The sequence below is a fragment of the Homo sapiens genome, chromosome 2 (genome assembly GCF_000001405.40).
Source record: "Homo sapiens chromosome 2, GRCh38.p14 Primary Assembly".
In the NCBI taxonomy this organism is placed as follows: Eukaryota; Metazoa; Chordata; class Mammalia; order Primates; family Hominidae; genus Homo; species Homo sapiens.
This window is the reverse complement of record NC_000002.12, coordinates 43,987,019-43,996,767: the sequence shown is the minus strand read 5'-3', so window position 1 is coordinate 43,996,767 and position 9,749 is coordinate 43,987,019. Positions and strand designations below refer to the sequence as shown.

General features: G+C 45.5%; 1 protein-coding gene across 5 annotated transcripts in view, besides 6 other annotated features; it reads left to right on the top strand.

Moving 5' to 3' along the window:
* Window positions 502–781: an enhancer, noted in NCBI's record as "active region_15681". NCBI's record gives its function as "activates an Ori minimal core promoter by ATAC-STARR-seq in GM12878 lymphoblastoid cells {active_cell/tissue: GM12878}" and the evidence as "EXISTENCE:reporter gene assay evidence [ECO:0000049][PMID:35858748]".
* Window positions 502–1,228: a biological region, named in NCBI's record as "H3K27ac hESC enhancer GRCh37_chr2:44222679-44223330".
* The window catches only part of LRPPRC (leucine rich pentatricopeptide repeat containing), a 110,042-nt gene continuing 100,795 nt past the window's right edge, over window positions 503–9,749 (top strand). For 3 of the 5 annotated variants that reach the window (XR_007068563.1, NM_133259.4, XM_006711916.4), the window contains exon 1: window positions 779–969. Coding sequence is in view for 4 of the 5 variants with exons in the window: in NM_133259.4 (NP_573566.2) it covers window positions 821–969 (149 nt within the window). In the remaining variant the exon portion in view is untranslated. Of the gene's footprint in view, window positions 629–778; window positions 995–9,749 lie in introns of those variants that run through there. The other 2 variants (XM_047442809.1, XM_006711915.3) reach the window with 2 other exon arrangements.
* Window positions 577–1,228: an enhancer, noted in NCBI's record as "H3K27ac hESC enhancer chr2:44222679-44223330 (GRCh37/hg19 assembly coordinates)". NCBI's record gives its function as "activates a minimal SCP1, AML or CMV promoter by ChIP-STARR-seq in naive H9 embryonic stem cells {active_cell/tissue: H9 hESC(naive)}" and the evidence as "EXISTENCE:reporter gene assay evidence [ECO:0000049][PMID:30033119]".
* Window positions 882–1,201: a silencer, noted in NCBI's record as "silent region_11429". NCBI's record gives its function as "represses an Ori minimal core promoter by ATAC-STARR-seq in GM12878 lymphoblastoid cells {active_cell/tissue: GM12878}" and the evidence as "EXISTENCE:reporter gene assay evidence [ECO:0000049][PMID:35858748]".
* Window positions 8,170–8,670: an enhancer, noted in NCBI's record as "H3K4me1 hESC enhancer chr2:44215237-44215737 (GRCh37/hg19 assembly coordinates)". NCBI's record gives its function as "activates a minimal SCP1, AML or CMV promoter by ChIP-STARR-seq in naive H9 embryonic stem cells {active_cell/tissue: H9 hESC(naive)}" and the evidence as "EXISTENCE:reporter gene assay evidence [ECO:0000049][PMID:30033119]".
* Window positions 8,671–9,171: an enhancer, noted in NCBI's record as "H3K4me1 hESC enhancer chr2:44214736-44215236 (GRCh37/hg19 assembly coordinates)". NCBI's record gives its function as "activates a minimal SCP1, AML or CMV promoter by ChIP-STARR-seq in naive H9 embryonic stem cells {active_cell/tissue: H9 hESC(naive)}" and the evidence as "EXISTENCE:reporter gene assay evidence [ECO:0000049][PMID:30033119]".

Sequence of the window (9,749 nt, the reverse complement as noted above, 5' to 3'; positions counted from 1 at the left end):
CTCCCCATATTTGGCTGGAGACTCTTAATTACATTGTTCTTTTACTTCTCACATGTATATGTGCATTTACTGAAGGGAGAGGCGCGGTAGGGGTGGAGGGTTGGGGAAGAGAGTCAGTTCAATTCCAGCTTTAAAACTATAGGATTTTTGGTAGAATTCATTTATTTTCTAAAGCGAGGCCCCGCGTACGCGCTTAGGGTGGGGACCTGCGCGTTCCTTTACACTGTTCCCAGGCCCTGATAATCCACATCCTATCATGTTGAACCTGGGAGGCAAACGGCAAGGTGCAAAAGACCTCCACGGTTTCTCCGGCCCGCGTTTCTGAGAGTGAAGGGCCGTTCCTATTGGACATGGCGTCAGGGCTGAACGTTAGCAGCAACATCTGCACTCGGGGGCGGGGGAAACCTTCCCACGTCCTGGGATCTTCATAGTCGGCTCTCCTCGAGAGTTCTCGGTATTTTTACTAGTTGGCCTCCCACAAGCCTCTGCGCCAACCTGGGAGGAGTTGACCTCTTGCGGCTCTACCAACAGAGGAGTGCAGGGGTGCAGCGAATGAACACGATGCCCAGATCGGAGACGGAAGACGGAAAAGAAAAGCTTCGATAATGAATCAAGCAACATCGTTTATGTAAATATTACATTGGGTCTTCTGTCCTCGGAGAAGTGCGGTTTTCCATCTTCCAACCTAAAACAATCCGTCGCTCCCCCCACATTTGGCACGCCCGGCAGTTGGTCTCTGCCGCGCCAGGCTACCCTGCGGTCACATGCTCCTCCTGTCCTTCTGGCGGAGCGTGCTTCCCGCTGCGGGGACGTTCGAGCAATGGCAGCCCTGCTGAGATCCGCGCGTTGGTTGCTGCGTGCCGGGGCGGCCCCGCGCCTCCCGCTCTCCCTGCGCCTCCTCCCTGGCGGCCCGGGCCGGCTGCATGCCGCCTCCTATCTGCCCGCCGCTCGCGCCGGGCCCGTGGCCGGGTGAGTGCCCAGGCCCTTTCTCCAGGCAAGCTGCGGCGCCAGGGTCCCCCGGGGTCGTGGGTGCCGGCAGGGACCGGGTCCTGCCTGTGCTCGCCACCCTTCTCCCCGCCCCAGGACCTAGCCTCCCCGGGCTCCGCACCACGCTCCCTACCAGGGGTTTTCGGGTGACAGGGTTAAGCGCCTTCAGAAGGTCACGGCTGTGGGCATGGCCTGCCTCCGGCTTGAATCCTGCCCCCGCCACTTCAGCCTGGACCTTACTGCCCTCGGGGTACCCATGGTCAACGAAGATGAGGGGGGCTTTGAAGACTGCTTTGGGAAGTCGGGTGGTGGTCTTTTCCTTACACTTGGCCAGCTTGGGTGGTGTCCCACGTGCGGTCACCGTTGGTGATCAGTAACCACCTAGCATTTAGATATTGGAAATTTAGCTTTTTGCGAGGGATGGGGCGGCGAGGAGTGGGTTGGGAGTTTGGGTGAGCCACGGATGACTTAAAGCTGGACGCTGGATTATGATCACTTTGGGCTTTTGCCTGCGTTCTCTTGAATGGAGTTTTCCTTCAGCATTTAAGAAGGTGTTGCGCGAGTTGGGCTGGAGTGCAGTGGCGCGATCTCAGCTCACTGCAACTTCCGCTTCCCGGGTTCAAGCGATTCTCCTGCCTCAGCCTCCCGAGTAGCTGGGATTACAGGTGTGCGCCACCATGCCAGGCTAACTTTTGTACTTTTAGTAGAGACTGGGTTTCACCATGTTGGCCACGCTAGTCTCGAACTCCTGACTTCAAGCGATCCTCCTGCCTCGGCCTCCCAAAGTGCTGGGATTACAGGTGTGAGCCACCGCTCCCGTCCTGTAAGTGTCTTTGAATGAATGAGCACATGCAAGGCACTCTGTTGGAATCTGGGGATGCAAAGGCAAGTTAAACTCTAAGTGGGTGTCAGATAGGCGAATAAATGCTCTCATGGTTTGAGGTTTATCAGAGATAGGTTTGGTATAGACTTTTGTAGTGGAGGGGAAAAGAAAAGTTGGTGAAAGTGTTCATTTGGTTATTAATAGTATTCTGACCACCAGAGAAGGGGAGATAGGTGCTGAGCTTTTAGCATTGGAGAAAAAATGATTTTGAAAGACTGATGCTTGTAAATTAAGGTACTTTGAGAGCTCGCGTAAGGACTGAGAGCCAGGGATCTGCAGTAGGCTGGGCCCAGACTGCAGCCTACTCCAGATTTATCTGCATTTTATCCTCAAATTATCTGCATTATGCCATTAGAGAAGTTACTTAACATCTCCAGGCCTCAGCTTCCTTAGCTATAAGGTGGGAGTAGTAGTAGTGTTAGGAATATTGCAGAATTATCTGTATTAAGCACTTAGTATAGGGCCTGATGCCTAGTAAGTGCTTTGTTGGTTACTACAGGAGTCATAATATCTACGGTTATGCGGACCTTCATGGACCAGCCTGAACACCTAATCTCGCCATAAAATTACGTGGAGGAAATAATTTATGATTTCTTAACAACTTAGTTATAATCTTTGGAATGGAGCGTACTTGTAATTTGGAGTCTGCCTATATTTTCTTATTGGGCTTGAACAGTTAACTTTCCGAAATCATGCCTCTGAGCACAGAACTATATACATCTCTTGGCTTTCAGAGTTTCTTTTGAGAAAGTTGTGCCCATTACTCTTATTTTTCTAATCCTCAGCATTTCTGTGAGGCCAGGGGAAGGTCCACATTTTCTTTTATCTTCACTGTTGCATTTGAGGAGAACTGAATAAAGAGAGAACATAGTTTAGTAGAAAGGGTGGTCTCGGTGTTCATCAGACCTGGGTTCTGTTTACTTACTGCGTAATCTCAGCCATCTTACTAACCTGTCTGTTCCTCAGTTTCATTATCTGTAAAGGCCTTTCCCCCTTATCTTTGTAAAGTTGCTTTCTTATCATTCAGATCTCAAATGTCTCTTCAGGGAAGCCTTACCTCAACACTCAATCCAAAACATGCCGGTCCCACTGTAGATTTATTCGTGGCACACCTCACTTGTCTGATATCATTACTTATTTCTCTGGTTTTTTTTTTTTTCTTTAGTAGAAGGTAAGCTATATGAGAGCAGGACTTTGTCTTGTTCACCACTGTGTGTTCAGGTGACAGCAGGCAATAAAGAAGTGATTGTTCCCTCTTTTTCCTGGACTCTGAGCACTGTATATAGTCTCCTACCCGACATCCTGTAAGCATGCCCAGATCTTGCCCACGTGAAACACAGAACCTTTCCTGGAACTCTGTTTACTCTAGAAGTTTCTCAGTCTCTTCCCTGTCCATACTTCTCTGTCCCTTTAATTTCATCACTTTTCATTCACTTTCCTATCCACTGCAGTCACACCGCTGTCAAAGGCCATTATTATCTTATTGATTTTTTTATTGTATTTTTGAAAAATTATTTCAAAAGTGCCTTGAAGAACAGTTGCAAAAATTATTCCTTAAGGTGCCTCGAGGGACAGTTGCAAAACCTGGGTGGTGGGAACAATAAACTAAAAATCACCCTTAATTATGTCAACCAGAGAGCCATTCATTGATAGCTGTCCTTCTAATGACTTATGTATGTGTAAGATGTATGTTTATTTAACTTTTTGAAAGGACCTCTTTTAATTACCAAATCCACTTTTTAGGCCTTGACCTGGCATATTACTCTGTCTTCCATTTTCCCCTTCATGAGACACTTTTCTTGGTATTGATGACACCATTTTTCTAGGTTCTCTTCTCTTTAGGATTTGTCTCATTTGCTTGATTCCTCTTGCTTCTGTTCACCTATTAAATGCTGATGTTCTTGGTAGTTTTACTCGTGGTCCTTCTGTGTTTTCTCAACATTTTCATTCTCTTTTGTGACCTTTTCCATTTTTCAGGGCATTACTTACCTATCTGATGATGTTTCTCCCAGATATGGACCATCTACTACACATCCACCTGCTTGAACTATAGGTACTTCAGAGCCAACACAGCTCAAATTGGACCCCTCCTTCTTCTTTCATCTGTTCCTCTTGTGTTCCCTATTTTCGTGAATGTTGCTGTTTCTACCTGCCTTCCAGAAAGATCCTGGATATCTACATATTTGTTTTCCCATTCATCTCTCACTCCCTTCACCCCCCATTTATTGATTGCACAAATGATTAAGCCCTGTTAGATCTGCTTCATTTGGAATGCATCCCTTTTCCTCCAGCCCCTTCATCATTCCCTAGTCTCCCTGATAATTTGATCATGTCATTTTCCTGCTTACACTTAAGCATTGTGGTGGCTCCCATTGGGTCCAGAAGGAGATCCAGACTCTTTAGCACAGGTGCTTTATGAGCTGGAGTTGCCTCTGGAGCGTCAACTCTTCTGAGTTCCCTCCCATGGCATCCTGCGTTCTAGCCGTACCAGACTACTACTTTGAAGTGCTCTACAGCAGGGCTTCTCAAACTCTAGTGAGCATGATTGCCTGGGGCTCTCGTTAAACTGCAGATTCTGATTTTGTAGGTCTAGTGCTTGTCTGTGGATCTGTAAGGCTTTGATGGGCCATGTTGTATATTTCCTTGCCTTTGAGTGTAATGTTGACTCTTGGAATGTGTCTCCCCTTCCCCCTTAGTCAGGTGTCCCCCATCTCTGTTGAACCTTAACTTGACTGCCTCTCCCATTTGACTGGCTCCTTTCTTGTGCCTCCTCTTAGACCGTGTATCACTAAAGCACCCATTAACACTATGACGTGCACTCACCAACACTCTGGAGCTGGCTGTAAGTTGCTTGAAGGCAGATACTGTGTCTTACTCCTTTTGCTTTCCCTGGTGTTTAACTTTGTGGCATATAGTAGGTGTCAAATGTTTGTTGAGTGAATCAATGAAAATCTTAAGACATTGAAGAAGGAATATGGTAAACTGGAGGAGATTGAAGGGATGCTTAACCCACCCATGCAGTGCAGTGTGTCTACACAAATTCACCCTGAGCTTGATTTCCAGGAATGTCCTATTTGAGGACAAATGAGTATTAGTGAGTGAAATTATTAGACATTAGTAATCTGTTTTCAAAATTGTAGCACCAAGAAGTATATCCTTTTACTTTGTAATATGTGGTCTTGCTCTTCATTTTCCCATCTCAGTACATCTATTTTTCAAATAGATGCTTTCTGGAAAACCAGCTTTTACTCTGTTCTCTTTGAGGTGATAAATACTCTTGCTTTGTCACATACATTTTCCTTGCATTTCTGGATCAGAGCTGCTTTGTGTGTGTATTCTTTGTGTGATGGTTTTTAGCATAATACTTGTATACTTCAGAGGAAAGATAAGCTTTGAGCTCAATCTGTTTGGAAGTAGATCTAGACTAATGATTGGCCTAAAGGTGAAAATTACATATTGTTCTTTGATGGGATGGTGTGATTTTTATTTCTAAAGTTGGAAGAAAACTTTTAGAAAACTCTCATTTTAGAAAAATCTTCTGCAAATATTAAGAATCTGATGGGTCCGGCTGGGTACTATTGTTCACACCCATAATCCCAGCACTTTGGGAGGCCGAGGCGGGCAGATCACTTGAGGTCAGGAGTTTGAGACCAGCCTGGCCAACATGGTGAAATTCTGTCTCTTACTAAAAATACAAAAACAAAATTAGCAATGGTGGCGGGCGCCTGTAGTCCCAGCTACTCGGGAGGCTGAGGTGGGAGAATGGCATGAACCTGGGAGGCGGAGCTTGTAGTGAGCAGAGATCAGGCCACTGCACTCCAGCCTCAGTGACAGAGTGAGACCCCATCTCAAAAAAAAAAAAAAATAAAAGTATCTATACATAAGTTAGCCAGGCGTGGTGGCCCATGCCTGTAATCCCAGCTACTTGGGAGGCTGAGGCAGGAGAATTGCTTGAACCCGGGAGGTGGAGGTTGCAGTGAGCCGAGATCACGCCATTGCACTCCAGCCTGGGCTACGAAGCGAGACTCCATCTCAATTAAAAAAAAAAAAAAAAAGAACCTGATGGGTCCTTTGGGGTTCTGAAATCTGTAACATTCGGCCTCTGCTCTGTGAGTGTAGATTTATCAATCACAGGGCTAGACAGGCACATGTACAACTATTAGACGTGCTGTCCATAAGAGAAGAATATAATATTGTGGTATTTCAGAGAGAGGAGCAGTGCCATTTGTTTTATGGCAGGGGGACATTGAGTTTTAGAGGACACATGGTAGTGGATATTCAGAATGTTCCAAAAATAGAGAAGAGCGTGAAGAGACTTGGAGGCCGTTTATCCCGTGTAGCTGTGTGGGATGTGGTGGAAGTTGATTTCTTGAGGCTACCAAGATTGCTTAGAAGGTAGGTTAGTTGATGATTGGAAGCCGTTGGAGGATTTTAAGTACAGATTTTGACAAAGTTTATGTAGATTATAGGAACGTGGGGATGGAACAACACTGGTATTGCAAATTAGCAGTAATAGGCCTTCAACGAGGTAGTAAAGAACTGACGAAAAGATCCGTTTCTTGAGAGAAAGAGAACAGAAGATTGGTGAGAGTGTTAGCAGAATTAAGAAAAGTAGATTTGGGGATTAGGGTAAACAATGGTACCTTTAGAATAGATGCTGATTACTTTCTTTTTTTTTTGAGATGGAGTCTCGCTCTGCCACCCAGGCTGGAGTGTAACGGGGCCATCTCGGCTCACTGCAACCTCTGCCTCCCAGGTTCAAGCGATTCTCCCACCTCAGCCTCCCAAGTAGCTGGGACGACAGGCGCATGCCACCATGCCTGGCTAATTTTTGTATTTTTAGTAGAGATGGGGTTTTGCCATTGCCATGTTGGCCAGGCTGGTCTCGAAATCCTGACCTCAGGTGATCCACCACCTCAGCCTCCCAAAGTGCTGGGATTAAAGGCATGAGCCACCGCACCTGGCCTGATGTTTATTATTTTCAAAGTGTGTTTGTAAACATAACATCATACAAACATTTCAACTTCCGTGGGTTATTACAAATTAGGAAACAGGGTTAGAAGTATAATTTATTCAAGACCTCAAGTTGAGATTCAACTCCAGATACCGTGATTCCCGTTTCTGAAATGTTTTACATATGTTGCAACATATGTTACAAGTGTTTTACATATGTTACACATTTGATCTTGTCATTTTCCTGTTTACAGTTAACTGCCATGGTAGTTATCATTGGGTGCAGAATGAGGTCCAGACTGTTGTGTTTTAGATGGTGAAGGGATTACTTATGGACAAAAACATTTTTTAAAAGGCAATATATGATATAAACTTGGGATTTAAAGACTTTCACAGGTAAGTAAACATAGAAGATCTCAGAATGTATCTGGAAGGGATCTTCATAGATTCTGAAGAGTGTCCATGTCACATTATCGGTCCCAATCTGGTTAACTGACTTTGCATTACTTCCTCCATAGGTGAGACACAGGAGACATCCCATTTGACTGGAGGATCCTGGGAGATGGAAGGGAAATCTCGATAGGTGGAAAGGAGTGGATTGGTATTTCAGGCCAGAAGGTTGTTATAAAGTGTAGAAGGGTGGCTAGTAGCTTTTTTAGTCTAAAATTCTGTGATTTACCATAAAGCATAAAACTGGGGCAGCTAAATTTGTCAAAAGTTTTTGGAGAATTCAGTTCTTAGAGGGAGAAAGTTCATTGTGACTTAGTTTTATAAAAGATTTTTTAGGCCAGGCCCAGTAATCTCCGCACTTTGAGAGTCTGAGGCAGGAAGATCACTTGAAGCCAGGAGTTCAAGACCAGCCTGGGCAACATAGTGAGACTCCTGTCTCTAGAAAAAAAGAAATTAGCCAGCTGTGGTGGCATGCACCTGTAGTCCTAGCTACTTGGGAGCTGAGGCTGAGGTGGGAGGATTGCTTGAGGCCAGGAGTTCAAAGCTGCAGTGAGCCATAATTGCACCACTGCACTCCAGCCTGGACAACAGAATGAGACCCTGTCTCAAAAAAAAGATAAAGGAAAGATATTGTAAAAACTCAGAGGCATTTGGTCAGGCGTGGTGGCTCATGCCTGTAATCCCAACACTTTGGGAGGCTCAGGCGGGCGGATCACGAGGTCAGGAGATCGAGACCATCCTGGCTAACATGGTGAAACGCCGTTTCTACTGAAAAAAATAACAAAAAAATTAGCTGGGCGTGGTGGCGGGTGCCTGTAGTCCCAGCTACTCCGGAGGTGACAGAGCGAGACTCCATCTCAAAAAACAAACAAACAAAAACTCAGAGGCATTTATTGAGCACCTTCTATAATAAGACAGCTATTGTTTATTGAGCAGTGGCGTCTCTTTTCTTTCTTGTTAGACGGAGTTTCGCTCTTACTGCCCAGATTGAAGTGCAGTGGCGTGATCTCGGCTCACTGCAACCTCTGCCTCCCAGGTTCAAGCGATTCTCCTGCCTCAGCCTCCCAACTAGCTGGGATTATAGGCATGCGCCACCATGCCTGGCTAAGTTTGTATTTTTAGTAGAGATGGGGTTTCTTCATGTTGGTTAGGCTGGTCTAGAACTCCCGACCTCAGGTGATCCGCCCGCCTTGGCCTCCCAAAGTGTTGGGATTACAGGCATGAGCCACTGTGTCCAGCTTTTTTTTTTTTTTTTTTTGAGACAGAGTCTCTGTCTCCCAGGCTGGAGTGCAGTGGGGCGATCTTGGCTCACTTGCACCCTCTGCCTCCTGGGTTCAAGCAGTTCTCCTGCCTCAGCCTTCTGAGTTGCTGGGATTACAGGCACCTGCCACCATGCCCGGCTTATTTTTGTATTTTTAGTAGAGATGGGGTTTCACATGTTGGCCGGGCTGGTCTCGAACGGACTTCAAGTGATCTGCCTACCTCGGCCTCCAAAAGTGCTAGGATTACAGGCTTGAGCTACCGTGCCTGGCCCGTTGTTTCTTTTCTTAATTACATTTACCATAATTAATATTTTTAAAGGTCTAATTTATTAGATTTATTACTAGATAAGAATATTCTAGCCAGTGCCTTATACATAGAAAGCACTCAGTAAATATATTTTGAATTAATAAATGGAAGAACAGAATTGATGTGATAAGTAAAGAACAATGATAGGATTTTTGAAAAAAGATGGTTTTGAGGATGGTTGATCTGGCAGTTGTATGAAGAGAGGCTGAAGCCTGAGAAACTAAAGATTTGTTGCAGAAATCCATGAGTTCATCAAGAGCCTCAGACATCTAAGCACTCACTAGATGGGATGTAAAGGCTGAGAGACTTTGCCCAATAAAATAATTAGTCTAAGATTTTGAGTTTGAGTTTGTGGGAACAGGGTATTAGTGGAATGGTTGGTTGCAGTGGAGAAATTTGAAGGGAATACCAACCTTTTTTTTTTTTTTTTTTTTGAGGAGTCTGGCTCTGTCGCCCGGCCTGGAGTGCAGTGACGCTATCTCGGCTCACTGCAAGCTCCGCCTCCTGGGTTAACGCCATTCTCCTGCCTCAGCTTCCTGAGTAGCTGGGACTATAGGCGCCCGCCACGGCCCCTGGCTAATTTTTTGTATTCTTATTAGAGACGGGGTTTCGCCTTGTTAGCCAGGATGGTCTCAATCTCCTGACCTCGTGATCTGCCCGCCTCGGCCTCCCCTAAGTGCTGGGATTACAGGCATGAGCCACCGCGTCCGGCTCATTACCAAACATTTTTAAAAGGCATTATCTTTTTGCATTTTGGATACATTTAAAACTCGGGAGGCTCCAGCAGTATATAAAAAGAATGATTTACCGTGATCAAGTGGGATTTATTCCAACTGTGCAAGGCTGGTTCGGCATTTGAAAATCAATCCACGTGATCCAGCGTATCAACAGGCTAAAGAAAATTCAA